This window comes from Homo sapiens, chromosome 15 (assembly GCF_000001405.40).
Source record: "Homo sapiens chromosome 15, GRCh38.p14 Primary Assembly".
Lineage (NCBI taxonomy): Eukaryota > Metazoa > Chordata > Mammalia > Primates > Hominidae > Homo > Homo sapiens.
In genome coordinates, this window is record NC_000015.10 from 42,232,994 (window position 1) to 42,259,398 (window position 26,405).

Consider the following 26,405-nt stretch of genomic DNA (forward strand, 5'->3'; position numbering starts at 1 on the left):
GAGACAGGTGGAAAAGCATTCATTCGGGCACACACTAAATTTACAAAGCTCTAATAGATTTAAAAGAGAACATGAACTATACATATATTTTGAAAATCAGAGCCCAAAAGTGACTTAAAGCAAACAGAAAGAAGCCCACAGACATTTCCAATCCACACTGTCAAGATGTAAACAATATAATTGAACTGACCACAGAAAATGAGATTAAGCAGTACTAACCCCAGTAACTCTGAGGACCCCTTCCATGCCAGAGAACAAAAGATAGAGGGCTCCTGCTACTACAACCTTATGAAGAGTGACTCCAAGGCGTGGCCTAAAGAGGAAGCAAGGAGATATTTGAGTACATATGGGACAAATGCCGAAACAAGCTAAGTAACAGGAACTTGTGTTAATTAATATAGGCCAACAATTTAAAGCAATAAATAATATACACTTGATTCACCTAAGAGAAAAAAACTAAGACCTTATGGTCTTAAAACAAGATAGGGAACACTACAACTTGAGATCTTGTGTCTGGTTACCACATTTTAAAAAATGTTTCCTCAGAGAGTTTTGAAACATATTCACAAGTAGTATAATGCACCCTTATAAACCCTTCACCAAGGCCCAACAACCACTAACCTATGGTCAGTTTTGTCCCATGCATACCCCATCCCCTTTCCACCCTTTCATATTCTCTTGATGCAAATCCTAGACAGTATATCTTTGATATATTTCAGTATGTGTTTTTAATAAATGAGGACCTTATTTTTCTTTGGTATTTCAATGGCTACAAAAGGGCCTTTCTTTTTTTCCCCTAAAGAAACAGGGTCTCACTCTATCGCCCACGCTGAAGTGCAGTGGCCCAGTCACTGGAGCCGTGAACTCCTGGGCTCAAGCAACCCTCCCACCTCAGCCTCCCGAGTAGCTGAGGACTACAGGCACGTCCCACTACACCAGGCTAATTTTTTTTTTTTTTTTTGATGTTTTGTAGAGACAAGGTCTCACCGTGTTGCCCAGGCTGGTCTAGAACTCCTAGGCTTAAGCGATTCTCCTGCATTGGCCTCCCCAAGGGCTGGGATTACAGGCATGAGCCACTGTGCCTGGCCCACAAAAGAAACTTTTAAAAAACATCACCAAGATACCACCATCAAATCTAAAAATTCTAACGATTCCTTAATATAATCAAATATCCTATTACGGTTCATTAAATAGTATATTTGCAAGCTCGAAACCTAATATATGAAAAGTCTTCTGAGCAACTTCTGTTTGAAGGAGAAAAAGTCTTAACTCCTTGAGATTCAAAATCCTACACAACCAGAATCCACATGTTAACAAAATCCTTAGGTGATTCCTTAGTGTAGTGTAGTTTAAGATGTGCTGCCTTAAATCATGTCTGCATAGGCCTTACCAATATTTGTTCTTATATTTTTTGTTATACATTGGGGAAAACTCCATATGAGCAGGGAATTTTCTCCCCATTCATCTTGGAAACCTAGAATACTTCCTGGCATATAGGAGGCACTCAAATAATTGTTAAATAAATAAGTTTTAAGAATTAAAATTCCCCATATCTCTAATCCCATTTAAAGCAAAACTCCTTTAATTGAATAAACAAACTTAAAACAACTAACCTTAATCCTACTTAAAGCACTATAAAGTGATGCTATAGCATTACTTAATCCCACTTAAAGCAAAATTCCTTTAAATAATTGTCTATACAATTATTCTAATTCCTCTCCTCCTATACTCTCTGGAACTCTCCCCAATTAGGCTTTTGTCCCTATCTCTTCACCAAAACTATCACTATGACCCTCCATATAGGTAAACTCAATGGCCAATTCTCACTTGACCTATCAGGATCTCTTGACACAATCACTTCCTCCTTGAAACACATTCTTCAGTTTTCTACCCACCTCACTGGTCTCTCCTCAATTTCTTCTGCTAACTACTTCATCTTACAGACTTCTAAATAATATTAAATATTCAAGGGCCCAGCCCTTGGACCTCTTCTCTATATATACTCACTTCCTTGGTGACCAAATCCAGTCTCATGACTTTATTTATTTATTTATTTAACTTTGGAGATGGAGTCTCGTTCTGTTACCCAGGCTAGAGTGCAGTGGCATGATCTTGGCTCACTGCAATCTCCGCCTCCAGGGTTCAAGCGATTCTCTTGCCTCAGCCTTCCAAGTAGCTGGGACTACAGGTGCATGCCACCACAGCCGGCTAATTTTTTGTATTTTAGCAGACACAGGGTTTCACTGTGTTGTCCAGGCTGGTCTTGAACTCCTGACCTCAGGCAATCTGCCCGCCTTGGCCTCCCAAAGTGTGAGGATTATGGCGTAAGCCACCACGCCTGGCCTTCATGACTTTAAATAATATCTTTATCTTCATGACTCCCAAACTTTTATCTCTGCCCCAACCTCTCCCCTTTGTTTCCCCTACTTAGTTATCTAATTCAACTCCAATCTTGCCCCTGCTCCACACTTATTTCACCTAAGGTCTTCCTGAACTCAGTAAATCTTCAATTCCATCCTGCCATTTTATCAGATCAAAACAATTGGCATCATCCTTAATTCCTCTTCTCTTTCCTATCATACATCTGATCCATCAGCAAATTCCACTGGTTCCACCTTCAAAATATATATAGAATCTGATCTCAATTCAGCATCTCTTCCCTTGGGTATACATATAGCTCCCTCACCTCCTTGAAGTCTCTGCTTAAATGTCATTAAGTGAAGCCCTCCTTGATCACCCTATGTACAACTGCAAGCTCTAGCTCCTGCATTACCTGCTCCACTGCACTTTCCACTGACATATTAAAATATTTTACCCACTTAAATTTTGTCTTTGTCCCCTCCCTCCACAAATGTAAGCTCAAAATCTTCTGTTTACTTGCCATATCCCCAGGGCCTAGAACAATGCCTCAAAGAATGCCTATAGAAGACACTCCTCAATAAAAATAAAATTTTTTGGATAGAAAAATATTTTCAGACAGTTACAGCAAGAATGCGTTTCCCATAAAAAATCTAATTTGCAAAAAATATTTTGGAAGTATGGAAATATATTCGGAAGTATGGAATACATTTGGATTTGGAAGTATGGAATACATTTGGACTTGGAAGTATGGAATATATTTGGAAGTATGGAATATATTTGGAAGTATGGAAAATGAAACACATTTTCCCAACATTTACAATGCTACAAAATTTCAAATACCTTTCTTGTTTCAGAATTATTTCTTTTATCAACTATTTCAGAACTACTACATTGGGAACATGCAATACTGTTTTAATTTAATCAGCATTTTAATTTGCTCTTCCATACAGGAAGTTAATACTTACTTGACGATGCCATATCCCAGACTGACTATGATGACCAGGGTTCGAGCCAGTGAGCGTTTCACTGCTGAAAGCAGCTCTGCAAGGATCAAAGCACCCTGGACTATGAAAAAGAAGGGAAGAAATGGCACCATAATCTAGGTTTGGCAACAGGCCAGATGCCAATACTAGACTGCTGCTTTCTACACTCTTCAGAATAAGCATTGATATTAGTCCTGCTAAAATAGAATACCTCTTCCACAGTTTTTACAGGATACAAGCTGATGCCACTCACAATCTTACTCATGTCTATGTATGGCAATCTGGGTGCGCTCAACTCAGCTCCCTCCCCGACCTGGCCCCAAATTCACTAAAACTTTAACAGAATACCTCACCCTATATGGACAGTTTGTAGCATCGAGACAATTTCCCCCATTTTTAAAAACTGTGAAATACAGCTACACATAGAAAAGCACAAAACACACTCGTGTACACGCTTGTTGGCATGTACAGCTTAACTTTTTTCAGATCTACTATTTTCAAGACCTTTCAAAGACCAGGGAAAATCTTATCAGTTTATCTCACAATAATAATTATGACTAAATTAAATGGTCTGACAAGAAAAAACTGAAGCAATCACAAAAAACTACAGTATAAAACAACTTCTGTCATTACCAGTTCACCTTACTAAACCATAAGCACTCTCCTATTTTCTTGATATGACTATATTTTATCAGTTAGATGCACTTTCCCACCACATTTTGAGGTTTTTTAAATCAAGGTGTGTCTTACAATCAGTGACATTTTACAATTAAATTGACAGCTTTACTTTTTTTCTTAGATGTATAATGGTGCCTTAGAAATCAACAGAAATTGAGATTTGATGTTAATAATCATTCCCAAAATGGTCACTACTGTTGTGACTTTTGTGAGCATATTTCAGTAAAATTAGTCTTACATCACTGAACTCATAAGATTAAAAACAAAAGTCAGAGTCATAGTGATTCTGCTTAAGATATTGTAATAATTAAGTAATTGAAAAGTTAAGCCTATGTAGTGACTGCTGACCTTAGGAATATTTTCATACATCTCACCTTCCAACCACTCGAACTGGCAAAGATTTTCTGGTTACTTACCAGATTCTCCTTTGTATCGGATATTCTGAAATTCCGCATAGAAGACAGCTTTCTCAAGCATTCCCAGGAAGATGACAGCACCAATCCAAAACTGAATTCTCAGGAGATCTCTCCAGTAGCAGGCAGACCATGCCAGCCACAGAACACCAAACAGGACATATACAATACACATCACCATGAAAAACTGTTATCAAATTGGGTAAAAGATAAAAAGGAGAATTAGGGCCAAGAGCCAAGTCTGTAGATTTAGAATCAATATATACTTTTTTTTTTTTTTTAAGAGATGGGGATTTGCTATGTTGCCTAGGATGGTCTTGAACTTCTGGACTCAAGCAATCCTCCCATCTCTGCCTCCCAAAGTGTTGGGATTACAGGCATAAGCCACAGCGCCTGTCCTGAATCAATATACAGTCTTAACAAGTTACAAAAATATATTCTACCTTCTAGTTAAGAAATAATTCTTCCTTTGGAGCTTAACATTAACTAATATGAAAGCATTATCTTGTCTTGAGCAGAGAAGACTACATATGAACTTGTCCTCAAGAGCGAATGCTCTCATATGTATATATATATATGTGTGTGTGTGTGTGTGTGTGTGTGTGTGTATGTATGTATCACATATGTATACCATATAAAAGGTGCTCTCTATTATACACACAGACACATATATGGTATATATAGAGAGCACTCAGCCTGCTCTCCTATAGTAAAAGAGCTTTTTCTGGTCAGGCGTGGTAATTCACACCTGCAATAGTGCTTTGGGAAGCCGAGGCAGGAGGACTGCTTGAGGTCATGAGTTCAAGGCCAGTCTAGGCAACATAGCAAGACTCTGTCCCTACAAAAAATAAAAATTAGGCCAGGCATGGTGGCTCATGCCTGTAATACCAGCAATTTGGGAGGCAGAGATGGGCAGATTACTTGAGGTCAGGAGTTCAAGACCAGCCTGGCCAAAACATGGTGAAACCCCGTCTCTACTAAAAATACAAAAATTAGCCAGGCATGGTGGTGCGCACCTGTAGTCCCAGCTACTCAGGAGGCTGAGGCAGGAGAATCGCTTGAACCCAGGAGCTGGAGGTTGCATTGAGCCAAGATCGTGCCATTCCACTCCAGTCTGGGTGACAGAGTGAGACTACGTTTCAAGATAAAAAATAATAAAATAAAATAAAAATTAGCCAGGCATAGTGGCACACGCCTGTTGTCCTAGCTGCTTGGGAGGCTGAGGTGGAGGGTAGCTTCAGCCTGGAGTTTAAGGCTGCAGTGAGCCATTATCCATTATCATGCCACTGCACTCCAGCCTGGGAGACAGAGTGAGACTCTCTTTTTTTTTTTTTTTTTTTAAAGAAGGAGCTATTTCAGCTCACGATCTAAAATTATATAGATGAAGACAACACTGAAGAAGAAAAATGGCATGATGATTAGGATACATCTAGAGGCAAGGAAACACAACAAAACGGGAAAACTATTAAAGGGAAAGGAAGAAGAGAATAATCATGAACAAAGAAAATTGAAAATATATTAAGGATATTCTGAGACACAGACGTATGCACACATACATGTATGTGCACACATACACACATACACACACAAAATGAAGAGAAGGGAGCTTCATCATTTTGTTAATTTTTTGTTGTTGAGACAGTTTCACTCTGTCGCCCAGGCTGGAGTGCAGTGGCAAGATCTCAGCTCACAGAAGCCTCTGTCTCCTGGGTTCAAGCAATTCTGCTTTAGCCTCCCGAGTAGCTGGGACTACAGGCGCCTACCACCACGCCCAGCTAATTTTTGTATTTTTAGTAGAGATGGGGTTTCACCATGTTGGCCAGGCTGGTCTCAAACTCCTGACCTCAAGTGATCTGCCCGCCTCAGCTTCCCAAAATGTTGGGATTACAGGCATGAGCCAGGGCACCCAGCCTCATTTAGTTAATGTAAGTGGGATCAGAAACAATAGAGTTGTAGTAAAAAGTGCCCCACTATGCATCCTAGAGAGAATGTGAGATGATCTTTGAGGTATTTCCACAGGTCACTGACCCCTTCATTATATGGATAAGAAAATGAGGCACACAAGGGTATACTGACTCTCTCAAAGTCCCAGTCTAATAAGAAATAAATCCAGGACTACAAGCAACATTTTCTGAATTGCACAGGAACAATTCATTAAAAAGAATACTGCCACAAAACATGGGACAATCTTTGAACCCAAAACCATCCAATACTGAGGTTAAATAATATAAAGTCACTTACAATCATCAAGGGATAGTCTTCAAGTGTGAGGTATTCATAGGGACCCTTCACTTCAACAGTCACTGCCAAAACAGAGTCCTCAGAATTAATTTACAGGATGCAGAAATTAAACAAAAATATTGCCTAATATTTGTTTAATGAACTTAGTAAGAATTTCATTGGGTCATTTACTTTTAGGCACTTCAATCCTGGTCAATATTACATTATATTTGTACAGCACTTGGAAAGTCATTAAGTGTCCTCATAGTTCATGCTGTGTCCTGCACAGGTTTCCATGCCTCCACCATAGTCTGAAGTGGGAAGGCTCTTTTGTTTCCATACTCACATCTTAAAAAAGACTAGATTGAATATTTCCTCCACACAGCCTTCTCTGGCTGCCCATCTGGAACAACTCTACACATACTCTAAATTCTAAACATACTTCATATATACTTTTCCTTACAACACATCAGTAAAATATGCCTTACAGGACTTCCTTTTTACATATTGCCATCTTCTTTGTTTTCTATCTTTCCTCACCTGTATTTTCCTATTGCTTTACTATTTTTTCATGGACTCCAATTTTCTTTTATTGCTACATTCATGTATCATTTTCGGAATGAAGGCATTGGAAAAAAACTTAAAAATTTAAATTAACTCACACAAAAAAATATACCATCCCTCATACAAGATTGAAATCTAGCTTCACAATCAGGTACCCTAGATGCTCACTCCAAAATAAAAATAACTCAAAAGTTCAGATGCTTCAAGGCAAAGCTCCATCCAATAAACATAGAATTGAACTTCCCCAAAACCTGCTAGTTAACATTTTTCAAAGAATTTGTTAATAACAAAGTGTTTAATGAGACAGATAAAGTAACAGTAATAACATATATCTGAAAGACATATTTGCCTTAGTAAAGCAAACATTGACTAATTTTAAGATTATCTGTAATTTTAAAAACTATTTCAAGATGGACTATTTTATTATTGTATTGATAAAATAATTTGGATAAATTCTAGGCATAATTAATAAATAAAAATCTGACTTGAGTGGTGATCATCCCTAGAGACAGACTAATAACTGTTCATTCAACAATTCCCTACTAGCTTCTGATATACCATTATTTAAAGTAAACTACATCCAATACTTACATGAAAAAAAGAGCATTCCATAAGAGCAATTATAAAAATTTCAGAGCAGAACTATTATTAAATCTATACCTTCCTAATTCAATAAAAGAGTAAACAAAATAATTAGTAAATACTTGGATCATATTCTTTGCTTACTCTATGCCTTGGTCAGCAAAATATAGCACATGGGCCAAATCTGGCCACCAGCTTTTTCTGTTAATAAAGTTTTATTGGAACACAGCCACATCCACTCATTTACATATTGTCTACAGCTGCCTCTGCACCACCTCGCAGAGTTGGGTAGTTATAATAGAGAAAAAATTTACTACCTGACTCTTTAAGAAAAAAATTTGCTAGCCCCTGCTCTATGCTAAAATATACATTTACTAAGCACTTATTATTTGACAGGCCTATGGAAAACACAGCAGACAGAAACATGAGTAAGATGTTTTCTGCCATCAAATGGGTAACCACCTTGCAGGGGAGAGGGAGTTGACAAGCTACATAGAGAACTATCCCTCTCAGCCAGACTAGAAGGATAAGTAGAGAACTATCCCTCTCAGCCAGACTAGAAGGATAAGTATGTATTTTCCAGAACAAAGTAAAAAGCCTTCTAGGTAGAGGAAATAACATGAACAAAACAGCTGTGAAAATGTGTGGTATATTTAAAGAACAAATATAGTCTGAGACTGCATATAATACCATATAGTAGTGGTGTTTTGACATAAGGCAGCAAAAGGTAAACTGGGACCAGTTGTAAAGAGTTTTATAAACCTTGCTGCAAAATGTAGTCATTTTATAGGCAATGGGGAGCCATCCATTAAAGGTTTCGATGAAGGGAAGAAAAATGATAAAACTGTATTAGTGATGATGTATCTTCTCCATTCCAAAAAAAGACGGGTATTTTTAAAATGAAAAAACAAGGCCAGGTGCGGCGGCTCACACCTGTAATCCCAGCACATTGCGAGGCCAAGGCGGGCAGATTACTTGAAGTCAGGAGTTCAAGACCAGCCTGGCCAACATGGTGAAACTAAAAATACAATCTACTAAATAAAAATCTAGTAGATTTAATAATTTAGCAGATAAATAATAATTTAGTAGGTTGTAAAAACACAATGTACTAAAAATACAAAAATTAGCTAGGTGTGATGGTGCAGGCCAGCAATCCCAGCTACTTGGGAGGCTGAGGCAGCAGAATCACTTGAACCCAGGAGTCAGAGGTTGCAATGAGTCAAGATCACACCACTGCACTCCAGCCTGGGTGACAGAGTGAGACTCTATCTCAAAAAAAAAAAGAAAAAAAAAAAGAAAAAGAAAAAAACAAAAAAGGATATAAGCTCAAAAACAAGACAGACATTTCCAAGAATCAAAACAGAAACTCAAAACAGTGCACGAGGCCGACTCCATGATCATGTTGGGCTCTTGGGCCAGAAGCAGGCTATGGTAGTTGGAAGTGCTGTCCCTATGGGATCTATGGTAGTTGGAAGTACACTACCAATGTACTACGGTAGTACATGGGATCATTGAAGCTAGTAGGTTTCAAAGAAAAAGAAGAGGGACCAGAGCCAGGCTGGATGCATGAAGAAGCTGAAGTAGGGTGGAATAAAGCTTCTCTTCCAGCCTTTTCAAAGAAAGAAGGTTGAAAATGAACACTGGTAACTGTGCCTTGAGACTATAATCCATTAGAAAGTCATGGGCCTAAAAAGACAGGAGGATACACATGTATGAGTGAGGGGGAGAGGGACAGGGAGAGAGGGAGAGGGAGGGAGGGAGGAGAGGAAGAGAAAGAGAGAGAGAGACAGACAGACAGAGAGAATATGCGTGTGTGTGTCAAAACCAAGTAGTGGTATCCCAGAAGTTCAACAATGATTTAATGTTAGAAGATCAGTTAATTTAATGTATGACATTAACTTATTAAATGAGAAAGCCCATATGATCATTTAAATCAGTACAATTAAACTATTTGATAAAGCTAAGTATTCATTCTTAACATTTTTTTTAAAAAAGGAAACTATTCTCATTAAACTAGGAATAGAAAGGAACATCTTTAACCAAATGAAGAATATTTCAAAAGTTCTACAGTAAACACAGTACTTAATGGTGAAATATACCAATACAGCCAGTAAAGTCAGGAGCGAAGTAACGGTGGCTGCCATCATTGTTTCTATTCCATATTCTGCTTAAGAAAGCAGGGTAGGAAAGGGCCAGGCACGGCGGCTCACCCCTGTAATCCCAGCACTTTGGGAGGCCAAGGCAGGCGGATCACAAGGTCAGGAGATCGAAACCATCCTGGCTAACACGGTGAAACTCCGTCTCCACTAAAAAATACAAAAAAATTAGCTGGGTGTGGTGGCGGGCGCCTGTAGTCCCAGCTACTTCGGAGACTGAGGCAGGAGAATGGCGTGAACCCAGGAGGCGGAGCTTGCAGTGAGCCGAGATTACGCCACTGCACTCTAGCCTGGGCGACAGAGTGAGATTCCATCTCAAAAATAAATAAATAAATAAATAAATAAATAAATAAATAAATAAATAAAAAAAAAGAAAGCAGGGGAGGAAAGGAAATTGCAAAAACACAAAGAAGAAACAAGGGGGAAACCACAGGAAATAAGACCAGTTAGGAAGTTCTTGGAAATTCCACGTAAAAGATGATGACTCTATGAACTAGGCAGCAACCTTGGAAAGGAGAACACTTAAATTCTTGAGACATTAAAAACTACCAATGTTAATTAATTTTTTTTTTTTTTTTTTTTTGAGAACAAGAACGAAAGTTCTTGTTGCCCAGGCTGGAGTGGAATGGCGTGATCTCGGCTCACCACAACCTCCATCTCCCGGGTTCAAGCGATTCTCCCGCCTCAGCCTCCCAAGTAGCTGGGATTACAGGCATGTGCCACCACACCGAGCTAATTTTGTATTTTTAGTAGAGACGGGGTTTCTCCATGTTGGTCAGGCTGGTCTTAAAACTCCCGACCTCATGTGATCTGCCTGCCACGGCCTCCCAAAGTGCTAGGATTACAGGCATGAGCCACCGCGCCCGGCCAATGTTAATTAATTTAAAATTTCCTTATCTCTGGCTTGGTGACCAAGTTTTGACAATTCTAGTTCAGAATACTGAAAACATGTTACTAACTAAAAATTTTAACAGCAGGAGTGTCAAATGAAGGAAATAGAAATCTGATACCTGTAATACCTAATAAAAAAGCATATGTAAAGTACATGAATGACATAACCAGATAATAACATAACCATTAAAAAAAAAACTGAACTTACTGGTAAAAAGATTACTCAGTGAATTTTCTTTTGATGATTCCTTTGAGGATGAAATGCCAATATGTACAATAAAAATGTATGGTGCATCTTGCCAAGTTTGCAATGGTTCATGCATTGCCTAGAAAGGGAAAAGGGCATCACATCTATAAATCTTAAGAATTAAGAGCACAAATTAATAATACAATATGCAAATTTTGCTCCAGAATGTGCCCAGAAATATGGTAAAGTCCTTCTCTTTCATTCATTGAAACATTAGGCACAACAAACCAAACAAGCCTAGTGCATAAAGTAGGCTAGATTATGAATTACTGAAAGGCAAGATACCATGTCTTGTACACAAAAATCACATTTAACATATTTTTTTAATGAGGAAACCCCCAACTAAAATCACTAATTTAATCTCTGTTTAACTAAGCCATACTAGGATACTAGTTTGTGTTTTATGCAGACATTACAAAGGAATTTAAATGATTATTTAAATCACCTTAAACAAAACTTAATGATGGTATCAGTAAAATGAATTCTAATCACCAATTCCTAAATCTAATCCCTTTGTTCAACATGCTTCCCAAGAATATCAGAATTTCTGCTGACATGGTCTCACATTTATATCAAAAATTTAACCTTGAGCTAGTCTATGTGGTAAGCAAGAGTCACTACCCCTCAAAGTCAAGGAAGACAAATTAACAGTCTCCAAGTCCTTGACTTTGAGGGGTAGTGACTCTTGCTTTTCACATAGACTAGAGTCTTCACAAACAGAAGACTAAGACACAATGATAAAGAGGAACACAGAAAATAACTGGTTTCTTCTTCCTTGGAATTGCAATTTACTACCATCTGTTCTTAAAAGGAGAAACGTTTATCCAGAGATCTCTGGGTAAGCTTCTAGGTTCTGTGAACCCCCCAAAATGAATAGCTGATTTTTTATGTTTATGCATTTTCCTGTGGAGCCATAGTTCTCCTCAAATGGTTAAAATATCCTACAACCAAGAAAAGGCTTAGTTCAAAAATTATATTCCATGATAAAAATCCATGTCAAACAAAGCAGACTAAACAATTCTCCAGATATCCATTTACTAGGTTATCTTAGTAAAATTTAAGAATATAAATGTCTTCCTAATCATACATTGATTTATCTCCACCTAATAGTCTCTGACGAGACTCACAACCAATTTGTGAGAAAACTTTGCAGCTTCAAAGTTATGGGTAATACATGTCTGCTTAGCCATAATTACAGAACCTTTCCTGAACTTACTTACTCATCAACCTATAAAATGCTGGTGTAATAACCTGCTCTATTAATCATATATGTCTTAAAACCACCTCTTACAAATTCTAAAATAAATTGATCAATTCTCATATTCCAGGATTTGAGAAAGTTTATACTTAACTCTGGAATGCAGAGATTCTGACCCTGTAAAAATAACATTTATATGCCAGATAACTCTGTTAAGCATATGACATTTATTACTTTTTTTTTTTTTTTTTTTTTTGAGGCAGAGTCTCGCTCCATCGCCCAGGCAGGAGTACAGCAGTGCAATCTTGGCTCACTGTGACGTCCGCCTCCCGGGTTCAAGCAATTCTCCTGCCTCAGCCTCCCAAGTAGCTGGGATAACAGGTGCATGACACCACACCCAGCTAATTTTTTTTTTTTGTATTTTTGGTAGAGACGGGGTTTCGCCATGTTGGCCAGCCTGGTCTCGAACTCCTGACCTCAGGTGATCCACCCACCTTGGCCTCCCTAAGTGCTAGGATTAAGGTGTGAGCTACCACGCCCCGGCCCATTTACTACATTTTTACATCCTCACAGCAGCCCTATCAGATAGGTATTAACTCCTTTGTAAACTAAGGTAAATTTTACACAACATAAAATTCACAATTTTAATGCGTATAAATCAATGGTATGTGGTACAAGCACAATGATGTGCAAATATCACCTCTATCTAGTTCCAAAACATTTTCATCAACCGAAATGGAGACCCTGTACTCATTAAGCAGTAGCTCCCCATTTCTTCCTCTGTCACCACTTGCAACTACTTATTTACTTCTTGTCTCCATGGAGTCATCTATTACGGACATTTCATATAAATGGGTCTAGCTTCTCTCACTTAACATAATGTTTTCAGGGTTCATCTATATTGCTGTATGTATCAGAGCTTCATTTATTTTTTTCTTTTTGAGTTGAAGGAATTGGCAAATATTTTATTGATCATGGTTAACTATTTTCTAAGTACTGAGACCCAAGTTTTGTTGTTTTTTTTTATACCTTAAGTTCTAGGGTACATGTGCACAACGTGCAGGTTTGTTACATAGGTATACATGTGCCATGTTGGTTTGTTGCACCCATTAACTCGTCATTTACATTAGGTATTTCTCCTAATGCTATCCCTCACCCAGCCCCCGACCCGACGACAGGCCCCACTGTGTGATGTTCCCCGCCCTGTGTCCAAGTGTTCTCATTGTTCAACTCCCACCTATGAGTGAGAACATGCAGTGTTTGGTTTTCTGTCCTCGAGAGTTTGCTCAGAATGATGCTTTCCAGCTTCATCCATGTCCCTACAAAGGACATGAACTCATCCTTTTTTATGGCTGCATAGTATTCCATGGTGTATATGTGCCACATTTTCTTAATCCAGTCTATCATTGACGGACATTTGGGTTGGTTCCAAGTCTTTGCTATTGCGAACAGTGCTGCAATAAACATACGTGTGCATGTGTCCTTATACTAGCATGATTTATAATCATTTGGGTGTATACCCAGTAATGGGATGGCTGGGTCAACTGGTATTTCTAGTTCTAGATCCTTGAGGAATTGCCATACTGTCTTCCACAATGGCTGAACTAGTTTACACCCCCACCAACAGTGTAAAAGTGTTCCTATTTCTCCACATCCTCTCCAGCACCTGTTGTTTCCTGACTTTTTACTGATCACCATTCTAACTGGCATGAGATGGTATCTCATTGTGGTTTTGATTTGCATTTCTCTGATGACCAGTGATGATGAGCATTTTTTTCATGTGTCTGTTGGCTGCATAAACGTCTTCTTCTGAAAAGTGTCTGTTCATATCCTTTGTCCACTTTTTGATGGGGTTGATTTTTTCTTGTAAATTTGTTTAAGTTCTTCGTAGATTCTGGATATTAGCCCTTTGTCGGATGGGTGAATTGTAAAAATTTTCTCCTATTCTGCAGGTTGCCTGTTCACTCTGACGGTAGTTTCTTTTGCTGTGCAGAAGCTCTTTAATTAGTTCTGATTTATCTATTCTGGCTTTTGTTGCCATTGCTTTTGGTGTTTCAGTCATGAAGTCCTTCCCTATGCCTATGTCCTGAATGGTATTGCCTAGGTTTCCTTCTAGGGATTTTATGGTTTTAGGTCTAACATTTAAGTCTTTAATCCATCTTGAATTAATTTTTATATGAGGTGTAAGGAAGGGATCCAGTTTCAGCTTTCTACATATGCCTAGCCAGTTTTCCCAGCACCATTTATTAAATAGGGAATCCTTTTCCCATTTCTTGTTTTTGTCAGGTTTGTCAAAGATCAGATGGTTGTAAATGTGTGGTGTTATTTCTGAGGCCTCTGTTCTGTTCCATTGGTCTATATGTCTGTTTTGGTACCAGTACCATGCTGTTTTGGTTACTGTAGCCTTGTAGTATAGTTTGAAGTCAGGTAGCGTGATGCCTCCAACTTTGTTCTCTTTGCTTAGGATTGTCTTGGCAATGTGGGCTCTTTTTTGGTTCCATATGAACTTCGAAGTATTTTTTCCAATTCTGTGAAGAAAGTCATTGGTAGCTTGATGGGGATGGCATTGAATCTATAAATTACCTTGGGCAGTATGGCCATTTTCACAATATTGATTCTTCCTATCCATGAGCATGGAATGTTCTTCCATTTGTTTGTGTCCTCTTTTATTTCTTTGAGCAGTGGTTTGTAGTTCTCCTTGAAGAGGTTCTTCACATCCCTTTTAAATTGGATTCCTAGGTATTTTATTCTCTTTGTAGCAATTGTGAATGGGAGTTCACTCATGATTTGGCTGTTTGTTTGTTATTGGCGTACAGGAATGCTTGTGATTTTTGCATATTGATTTTGTATCCTGAGACTTTGCTGAAGTTGCTTATCAGCTTAAGGAGATTTTGGGCTGAGATGATGGGGTTTTCTAAATATACAATCATGTCATCTGCAAACAGGGACAATTTGACTTCCTCTTTTCCTAATTGAATACACTTTCTTTCTTTCTCTTGCCTGACTGCCCTGGCCATTACTTCCAACACTATGTTGAATAGGAGTAGTGAGAGAGGACATCCCTGTCTTCTGCCAGTTTTCAAAGGGAATGCTTCCAGTTTTTGCCCATTCAGTATGATATTGGCTGTGGGTTTGTCATAAATAGCTCTTATTATTTTGACATACGTTCCATCAATACTTAGTTTATTGAGAGTTTTTAGCATGAAGGGCTGTTGAATTCTGTCAAAGGCCTTTTTGGCATCTATTGAGATAATCATGTGGTTTTTGTCTTTGGTTCTGTTTATGTGATGGATTACGTTTATTGATTTGCATATGTTGAACCACCCTTGCATCCCAGGGATGAAGCCAACTTGATCTTGGTGGACATGCTTTTTGATGTGCTGCTGGATTCGGTTTGCAAGTATTTTATTGAGGATTTTCGCATCGATGTTCATCGGGGATAGTGGTCTAAAATTCTCTTTTTTTTGTTGTGTCTCCGCCAGGCTTTGGTATCAGGATGATGCTGGCCTCATAAAATGAGTTAGGGAGGATTCCCTCTTTTTCTATTGGTTGGAATAGTTTCAGAAGGAATGGTACCAGCTCCTCTTTGTACCTCTGGTAGAATTCAGCTGTGAATCCAACTGGTCCTGGACTTATTTTAGTTGGTAGGCTATTAATTATTGCCTCAATTTCAGAACCTGTTATTGATCTATTCAGAGATTCAACTTCTTCCTAGTTTAGTCTTGGGAGGGTCTATGTGTACAGGAATTTATCCATTTCTTCTAGATTTTCTAGTTTATTTGTGTGGAGATGTTTATAGTATTCTCTGATGGTAGTTTGTATTTCTGTGGGATCAGTAGTGATATCCCCTTTATCATTTTTTATTGCATCTATTTGATTCTTCTCTCTTTTCTTCTTTATTAGTCTTGCTAGAGGTCTATTTGGTTGATCTTTTCAAAAAACCAGTTCCTGGATTCATTGATTCTCTTGAAGGGTTTTTTGTGTCTCTATGTCCATCAGTTCTGCTCTCATCTTAGTTATTTCTTGTCTTCTAGTAGCTTTTGAATTTGTTTGCTCTTGCTTCTCTAGCTCTTTTAATTGTGATGTTAGGGTGTCGATTTTAGATCTTTCCTGCTTTCTCTTGTGGGCATTCAGTGCTATAAATTTCCCTCTACACACTGCTTTAAATGTGTCCCAGAGATTCTGGTATGTTGTGTCTTTGTTCTCATTGGTTTCAAAGAACATCTTTATTTCTGCTTTCATTTCGTTATTTATCCAGCAGTCATTCAGAAGCAGTTTGTTCAGTTTCCATGTATTTGTGTGGTTTTGAGTGAGTTTCTTAATCTTGAGTTCTAATTTGATTGCAATGTCGTCTGAGAGACGGTTGTGACTTCTTTTACATTTGTTGATGAGTACTTTACTTCCAACTATGTGGTCAATTTTGGAATAAGTGTGATGTGGTGCTGAGAAGAATGTACAATCTGCTGATTTGGGGTGGAAAGTTCTGTAGATGTCTGTTAGGTCTGCTCGGTGCAGAACTGAGTTCAAGTCCTGGATATCCTTGTTAACCTTCTGTCTCATTGATCTAATATTGACAGTGGGGTGTTAAAGTCTCTCATTATTATTGTGTGCGAGTCTAAGTCTCTTTGTAGGTCTCTAAGGACTTGCTTTATGAATCTGGGTGCTCCTGTATTGGGTGCATATATATTTAGGATAGTTAGCTCTTCTTGTTGAATTGACCCCTTTACCATTATGTAATGGCCTTGTCTCTTTTGATCTTTGTTGGTTTAAAGTCTGTTTTATCAGAGACTAGAATTGCAACCCTGCTTTTTCTTTTGCTTTCCATTTGCTTGGTAAATCTTCCTCCATCCCTTTATTTTGAACCTATGTTTGTCTCTGCACATGAGATGGGTATCCTGAATACAGCACACCAATGGGTCTTGACTCTTTATCCAATTTGCCAGTCTGTGTCTTTTAATTGGGGCATTTAGCCCGTCTACATTTAAGGTTAATATTGTTATGTGTGAATTTGATCCTGTCATTATGATACTAGTGGGTTATTTTGCCCGTTGGTTGATGCAGTTTCTTCCTAGCATCGATGGTCTTTACAATTTGGCATGTTTTTGCAGTGGCTGGTACTGGTTGTTCCTTTCCACGTTTAGTGCTTCCTTCCGGAACTCTTGTAGGGCAGGCCTGGTGGTGACAAAAATCTCTCAGCATTTGCTTGTCTGTAAAGGATTTTATTTCTCCTTCACTTATGAAGCTTAGTTTGGCTGGATATGAAATTCTGGATTGAAAATTATTTAAGAATGTTGAATATTGGCCCCCACTAACAGATTGTCTGTTAGTCTGATGGCCTTCCCTTTGTGGGTAACCCGACCTTTCTCTCTGGCTGCCCTTAACATTTTTTTCCTTCATTTCAACCTTGGTGAATCTGACAATTATGTGTCTTGGGGTTGCTCTTCTTGAGGAGTATCTTTGTGATGTTCTCTGTATTTCCTGAATTTGAATGTTGGCCTACCTTGCTAGGTGGGGGAAGTTCTCCTAGATAATATCCTGAAGAGTGTTGTCCAGCTTGGTTCCATTCTCCCCATCACTTTCAGGTATACCAATCAGATGTAGATTTGGCCTTTTCACACAGTCCCATATTTCTTGCAGGCTTTTTTCATTTCTTTTTACTCTTTTTTTCTCTAAACTTCTCTTCTCGCTTCATTTCATTCATTTGATTTTCAATCACTGATACCCTTTCTTCCACTTGATCGAATCAGCTACTGAAGCTTGTGCATGCATCACATAGTTCTCGTGCCATGGTTTTCAGCTCCATCAGGTCATTTAAGGTCTTCTCTACACTGTTTATTCTAGATAGCCATTCATCTACTCTTTTTTCAAGGTTTTTAGCTTCCTTGTGATGGGTTTGAACATCCTCCTTTAGCTCAGAGAGGTTTGTTATTACCAACCTTCTGAAGCCTACTTCTGTCAACTCGTCAAATTCATTATCTGTCCAGCTTTGTTCCGTTGCTCGCGGGGAGCTGCAATCCTTTGGAGGAGAAGAGATGCTGTGGTTTTTAGAATTTTCAGCTTTTCTGCTCTGGTTTCTCCCCATCTTTGTGGTTTTATCTACCTTTGGTCTTTGATGTTGGTGACCTACAGATGGGGTTTTGGTGTGGATGTCCTTTTTATTGATGTTGATGTTATTCTTTTCTGTTTGTTAGTTTTCCTTCTAAGAGTCAGGTCCCTCAGCTGCAGGTCTGTTGGAGTTTGCTGGAGGTCCACTCCACACCCTGTTCGCCTGGTTATCACCAGAGGAGGCTGCAGAACAGCAAATATTGTTGCCTGATCCTTCCTCTGGAAGCTTCATCTCAGAGGGACACCCAGCTGTATGAAGTGTCAGTTGGCCCCTACTGGGAGGTGTCTCCCAGTTAGGCTACATGGGGGTCAGGGACCCACTTGAGGAGGCAGTCTGTCCATTCTCAGAGCTCAAACACTGTGCTGGGAGAACGATTGCTCTCTTCAGAGCTGTCAGACAGGGACGTTTTAGTCTTCAGAAGTTTCTGCTGCCTTTTGTTCAGCTATGCCCTGCCCCCAGAGGTGGAGTCTACAGAGGCAGGCAGGCCTCACTGAGCTGTGGTGGGCTCCACCCAATTCGAACTTCCTGGCCGCTTTTTTACCTACTCAAGCCTCAGCAATGGCGATGCCCCTTCCCCAGCCTGGCTGCCACCTCGCAGTTCGATTTGGGACTGCTGCACTTGCAGTGAGCAAGGCTCCGTGGGCGTGGGACCCGCTGAGCCAGGTGCGGGATATAATCTCCTGGTGTGCCGTTTGCTAAGACTGTTGGAAAAATGCAGTATTAAGGCGGGAGTGTCCCAGTTTTCCCAGTACAGTCTGTCACGGCTTCCCTTGGCTAGGAAAGGGAAATCCCCCGACCCCTTGCGCTTCCTGGGTGAGGTGATGTCCTGCCCTGCTTCGGCTTGCCCTCCGTGGGCTGCACCCACTGTCCAACCATTCCCAGTGAGATGAGCCAGGTACCTCAGTTGGAAATGCAGAAATCACCCGTCTTCTGTGTCGATCACGCTGGGAGCTGTAGACGGAGCTGTTCCTATTTGGCCATCTTGGAATCCAGCTCCCATTCATTTTTACAGATGAATGATATTCCATTTTATGAACATACAACATTTTACTTTTTCATTCCTGCTTGTAGTTTGAGATTTGTGAGCCTCTCAATCTTTCTGAAATTCATACTTTCATCAAATTTGGTAAGTTTCTGGGCATTATTCCTTCAAATATTCTTCCCATACCTTTCTCCCTCTCTTCTCCCTCTGATGAATTCCTATTATGTGGATGTTGATACACCTGAGGGTGTCCCATAGGTCTCTCAGGCTCATCTTCATTCTTTTTATCATTTTTATCTCTATGTTCTCCTGGTTTCCTTTAGTTTCTTCATCCATGGTTTTTTTATTTTTAGCTCTTTGAGTATATTTAAGACAGTTCACTTAAAATCTTTGGTCTGGTAAGTCTAATGCTGAGGCTTCCTCTTCAAAGCATGTATTTTTTTTAATCCTGTAAATATGCCATACGTTGTTTCTGTGCATGCCTCATAATTTTCCACTGAAAACTGAATGTTATAAAGTGGCAACTCTGGAAACCACAATCTGCCCCCTCCTTGGGGTTTGTTAGCTGGTAATAATAATATGGGTTATGTCTCTTTTGCTTAGTAAGTTTTCTAAACCATTTTTGTAAAGTCTGCATTCTTAGACCTGTGTGGCTACTGGAATCTATATTCCTTTAGCTTAGTGGTCAGCTAGTGTTTTGACAAAGATTTCTTAAACACCAGGAGCCAAAGACAAAAAAGAACAGAATATCCTCCCAGTCTTTGCACCCTGGCGCAATCCTTCAATGCTTAGCTGGGCCAATTAAAGCCATTCCTTATTCTTCACTTTTTGCTTGTACAGAGCCAGAATGAAAGCTTAGGGTCATCTAAGGTCTTTTCTGATCGTATGTCCAGTCTTGAGAATATATATGGCTTTCTTCATAGCTCAATATACACAGAAGCCTTAAAAAGCCTTGTTCTCCCACAAATCTCCTTTCTGGACCCTTTCCTTCTCATGCTTGACAGTCTCTCTATTGCTTATCCCCACTGTTATCCCCTTCCCTATGCACATAATACTTCTGCATTCAAATGCTTTTGGCAAACACAACCCAGGAAGCCACTCCAGCCCTGGGAACACTCTAAGTTGGGGAAAACAAAGTTAAGTCCTGGCAAGGTTCCTTCAGGGAGCCTCCAGGCAGGTGAAAACACACAATGGCAAGTCTTTAAGAAAAAGGTCTGTATTAGTTCCCCTGGCACCAGCAACCTGCACCACGACTGCGAGTTGCCATCTTCCTGCCTCTGAACTGGGAAGGAGGGTATGGTAAACAAATTACAATATCACTGCACTTTCTTAATGTAATGTAGCAGCTTCTTTCTTTGTTGAACTTTTTCCTTATTAAGTTTTGGTTAGATTTCAAAGTTCTGTGAAAGCTGAATGTGATAGCTTTCATCAGCTTACTAGTTGCTTTTGTGGAGGCATGGAGACCTGGACCTCACTACTCCACAATTCTTGGTAATATCATTCCTATTAGCTCCATTTTATTATGTAAGAAACTGAAGCACAATAACATTTCCAAGGGAAATATTAAGTTGTGAAGTTGGGATTTCAAAGTCTAGGACATCTGACCCGAGAGCCTGGGCTCTTAACTACCATCTCAACTATTAATTATTTTGTTCTCCATAACAAAACTATTTTTTTCTTTTTTTTTTTCTCTTTTTCACAGTCTACCACTAGCTTGTGAACAGAACTGTTTTTAAAGCACTGTCTTCATGGTATGATCTCAAAATTGTAAGTGCCCTTCAAAAGAACCTTTTAACCCCATGAGTAAGGTAATTAAAGCTACAAGTGACAATCCAGTTATTGATGCTGTCAGACAGACAGCCTACAAGAGTAGTTTTGTTCCCAAAACATTGTTTTTGATTAAGCACTGCATTGTCAAAAATGCAATTGTTACAAAACTAAACATACTCTTACCATACAATCTAGCAGTCATGCTCCTTGATAATTACCCAAATGAGTTGAAAACTTATGTCCACATAAAAGCCTGGACACAAATGTTTACAACAGTTTTATCTATAATTGTTATAACTTGAAAGCAATCAAGATGTCCTTCAATAGATGAATGGATAAACTGTGATATATCCAAACAATGGAATATGATTCAGCACTAAAAAGAAATGAACTATCAAGCCACCAGAAGACATGGAGGAAACTTAAATGCATATTACTAACTGAAAGAAGCCAATCTAAAGAGGTCACATATTTGTACAATTCCAACTAGATGACATTCTGGAAAAGGCAAAACTATGAAGATAGTAAAAAGATCAATGATTGCCAGGAGTTGAAGGGGAAGGGAGAGATGAACAGGCAGAGCACAGAGGATTTTTAGGCACTGAAACTATTCTGTATGATACTACAAAGGTGAAGATGTCTTTACACATTTATCAAAATTCATACAATGTACACTGCAGAGTGAACCTTAAACTATAGACTTTGATAATAACATGTCAACGTGGTTCATCAACTTTAACAGTGTGCCACAGTGGTGCAGTATGTTGACGATGGGGGAGGCTAAGTGTATAGGTATAGACACAGCATGTGGGAGGTCTCCTTTTTTTTTTTTTTTTTTGAGACAGAGTCTTGCTTTATTGCTTAGACTGGAGTACAGTGGCATGATCATGGCTCACTGCAGCCTTGACCTCCTGGGCTCAAGTGATCCTCACTTCAGCCTCCCCTGTAGCGGTGACTATAGGCATGCACAACCATGCTGGGTAAATTGGGGGTTTTGTTTTTTTTTAAGACGGAGTTTTGCTCTTGTCGCCCAGGCTGGAATGCAATGGCACGATCTTGGCTCGCCGCTACCTCCACCTCCCAGGTTCAAGCCATTCTCCTGCCTCAGCCTCCCAAGTAGCTAGGATTACAGGCATGTGCCACCATGCGCAGCTAATTTTATATTTTTAGTAGAAATGGTTTTCTCCACGTTGGTCAGGTTGGTCTTGAACTCGTGACCTCAGGTGATCTGTCTGCCTGGGCCTCCTAAAGTGCTGGGATTACAGATGTGAGCCACCGCACCCGGCCAACTTTTGCTTTTTGTAGAGATAGTGTCTCTAATGTTTTCCAGGCTGCTCTTGAACTCCTGGGTTCAAGTGATCCTCCCACCCTGGCTTCTGAAGTGCTGCAATTACAGGCATAAGCCACTGCACTGCCCTCTCTGTACCTTTTACTCAATTCTGTTGTGAACCTAAAACTGCTCTAAACAATAAACTCTATTAATTTTTTTAAATTATGTTAAATGTATCACATTATTGCTTAAATCCAAAAAACTGAGTTAATCAAAATATTAAAGTGTTCTCTTTTATCAATATTTCCTTAGAAGAAGGGACATGCAGAGGACCTTTCTTCCATAAACATATAGATTTTTGTTTTTTTTTTTTTAGATGGAGTCTTGCTCTGTTGCCCAGGCTGGAGTACAACGGAACGATCTTGGCTCAATGTAATCTCCACCTCCTGGGTTCAAGGGATCCTCCCACCTCAGCCTCCCAAGTAGCTGGGATTATAGGCGTGCGCCACCACACCCAGCTAATTTTTTTTTTTTTTTGTATTTTTAGTAGAGATGAGGTTTCACCATGTTTGCCAGGCTGATCTCGAACTCCTGACATCAGGTGATCCACCCACCTTGGCCTCACAAAGTGCTGGGATCACAGGTGTGAGCCACCACACCCGGCCCATAAACATATATGTTTAATCAGAGCTTTAATGAAATAGGATGGAGGTACTGAATTTGTGAGTATCCTTTTTGCTTTTTGAGACAGAGTCTCATTTTGTCACCCAGGCTGGAGTGCAGTGGTGCAATCATGGCTCACTACAACCTCTGCTTCTTGGGCTCAAGTGATTCTCAGGCCTCATGCACCCAAGTAGCTGGGATTACAGGTGTACCCCACCACACCAAGCTAATTTTTGCATTTTTAGTAGAGATAGGGTTTTGTCATGTTGACCAGACTAGTCTCAAACCCTGGCTTCAAGTGATTCACCCACCTTGGGCCTTAAAAAGTGCTGAGATTACCACTGAACCCAGCCTGTGAATATTCTTTAAATAGGATTATAAGGTATTTGCCTTGGACCAAATTTTCAGGAAGAAAGATCAAAAGATAGATAACTCTTTCATTTCTTTTGACTATATTTTGACTAAGTATTCCTAAATATTACTTGTGGTATTCAACAGGCTCACCTTTCAGCCAGTTTTAATCACTGTAACAAGACTCAAGCCTTGAGTAGAACTCAAAGTATGCTGTGCACAGAAGACAACTGAAGAAAGCACAAGTGCCAATATCCATATAAATGAAGGTTCACCCTCAACAATAATTTTTTTGCTGTTGTTTTTGTTTTAGAGACGAGGTATGGCTCTATCGCCTAGAGTGAAGTGGTGTGACTTTGGCTCACTGCAACCTCTGCCTCCCAGACTCAAGCCATCCTCCCACTTCAGTCTCCCAAGTAGCGGGGACTACAGGTGCACGTGCCACCTTCTGGCTAATTTTTCCATTTTTTGTAGAGACGAGGTTTCACCATATTGCCCAGGGTGGTCTCAAACTCGTAAGCTCTAGCGATCTGCCTGCTGTGGCCTCCCAAGGTGCTGGGGTTACAGGTGTGAGCCACAGCGCCTGGCTTAACGATAACTTTTTAAATACAATTTACAAGAACAAATTGTTGCTTAACTAGACAAACTGCATAAAATCTATTTTAAATGATGACAGCCATTGTTTTTGTGAGGAAAGATGGAAACTCACTGCTATGGTTTAGATATCTGTCCTCCCAAATTTCATATTGAAATTTGATCCCCAATGTTTGAGGTGAATTCTAGAGAGAGGTGTTTGGGTCATGGGAGCCAATCCCTAATGAATGGCTTGGTGCCACTGTCCTTTCAGTAATGAGTTATCCCTCTATTGGTTCCTTGATTATTAAAAAAAAAGCCCACTACCTCCTCTCCTCCTCCTCCCTCTTTCCTTCTTCCTCTCTTGCCAGGTGATCTGCACACACAGGCTCCCCCCTTCACCTTCCACCATGAGTAGAAACAGCCTGAAGCCCTCACTAGAAACAGATGCCGGCACCATGCTTCTTTCATAGCCCACAGAACAGTGAGCCAAATAAACCTCTTTTCTTTATAAATTACCCAGCTCCAGGTGTCCTTTCATAGCAACATAAACAAAGACACTCACTCTCACTTTCTTGGGGCCATAAATTGCTATGAAAAAGCACCTTTAAACTGTGCATACATGTGGATCTAGCAATTCTACCTCCAGGAATTTAGCCTAAAGATTATAAATGTACACAGAAATATAGCTAGACATTATGAACATAACTTTATCCATAATAGGGGAAATTTGGGAACAACCCCAATGTTCATCAATTGGGAGTTATTAAAATCATAATAAAATGGAACACTAAGCAGCCATAAAAAGGTGAAGTAGTATTCAATGTACCAATTTGGTAATAAAAAGAAAAAATTATACAATGGTATATAATATGATCTTATTTTGGTTAATATGCATGTGCTCTGTGTAATCACACCAAACTGCTAAAACTATTAGAACATAAAATTACAAAGGATTTTTACTTTTAAGTTATAGAATTAAAAACTTATCCCAATATACAATTCTTCTGAGATCAGAAAATAAAGACTTAAAAGCAAATGTAGTTAAAATATTAATCACAACACTGCATAAAATTCCAAGATAATGAAACTCATAAAAGTTCAAGAACAGAGAATTGAACAAATTGCAATGTACTCATACAATAAGACACTATACAAGCATTTAAGTAACGATGCAATACAATATTTACCAAACTGACGACATGTCCATGTTATATTGCTAAGCTACAAAAAAAAGTCATATAATACATACTCTAAGATTCCCTTTTTAAAATAATATAAACATGCCCATATACAAAAGAATAGGAAGATAAATATATCACTGCATGGTATTATAGATTACTATTTTCTTCTTTTCATTTATGTATATCGTCTCCATTTTCACAGTGAATATATACCTATTAGTAAGAGAAAATCCAATGAATATCTTTTTTCTTTTTTTTTTGAGATGGAATCTCACTGGCTGCCCAGGCTGGAGTGCAGTAGCGTGATCTCAGCTCACTGCAGCCTCCACCTCCCAAGTTCACGCGATTCTCCTGCCTCAGCCTCCTGAGTAGCTTGGATTACAGGTGCCTGCCACCATGAGCAACTAATTTTTGTATTTTTAGTAAAGACAAAGTTTCACCACATTGGCCAAGCTGGTCTCGAACTCCCAACCTCAAGTCATCTGCCCACCTTGGCCTCCCAAAGTGTTGGCATTACAGGCGTGAGCCACTGTACCCAGTCCTAATGGCTATCTTTTGTTTAAAAAAATTAACAAAGACTGTCATGCCTAACTTACATTCAGTTAAAATTCTGTACAAATAAAACTGGGGTTTAGGTAGTGAGAACACTTTCAGAATGGCAGAATAAGAAACTCTGAAAATCTACTCATCCATAAAAGCAACGAAAACACTGGCAAAAACTATCAAAATCAACTTTTGGAACTTTGGAAATTATTAAAGTCTTTCAACAATCCAAGAAATGTTTCTTCAAGAAAGGCATCTGAATCTAGGAAAGAAAAGCAAGCTTGAGATGTCTGTGTTCACCCTATTCCCATTCCTCTCTCCCAAGCTCCTTAAAACCAAAGTCCCTGAAACTGTTAACAGCTGATAAAAACAACAGCTTAGCAGCCACTAGGCAAAGGGGGTAGGGGAAGCAAACACAGAGTTTCACTCTGTTGCCTAGGCTGGAGTGCAGTGGTGTGATCTCGGCTCATTGCAGCCTCCACCTTCTGGGTTCAAGTGATTCTCCTGCTTCAGCCTCCCAAGTAGCTGGGATTACAGGCGTGCACCACCACACCTGCCTAATTTTTGTATTTTTGGTAGAGACGGGGTTTCACCACGTTGGCCAGGCTGGTGTCAAACTCCTGGCTCTCAAGTGATCTGCCCACCTAGGCCTCCCAAAGGAAAAAATACA

At 39.4% G+C, this 26,405-nt stretch overlaps 1 protein-coding gene across 22 annotated transcripts in view; it reads right to left on the reverse strand.

Annotated features, from left to right (window-relative positions):
- Positions 1-26,405, reverse strand: part of TMEM87A (transmembrane protein 87A) — a 63,138-nt gene that overhangs the window by 22,547 nt on the left and 14,186 nt on the right. For 17 of the 22 annotated variants that reach the window (NM_015497.5, NM_001286487.2, NM_001438992.1 and 14 more), the window contains 5 exons: positions 11,057-11,174; positions 6,677-6,738; positions 4,439-4,622; positions 3,327-3,426; positions 220-313 (listed from right to left, as the gene is read on the reverse strand). In NM_015497.5, coding sequence (NP_056312.2) covers positions 220-313; positions 3,327-3,426; positions 4,439-4,622; positions 6,677-6,738; positions 11,057-11,174 — 558 coding nt within the window. Of the gene's footprint in view, positions 1-219; positions 314-3,326; positions 3,427-4,438; positions 4,623-6,676; positions 6,739-11,056; positions 11,175-24,949; positions 25,998-26,405 lie in introns of those variants that run through there. The other 5 variants (NM_001438998.1, NM_001438997.1, NM_001438991.1 and 2 more) reach the window with 3 other exon arrangements.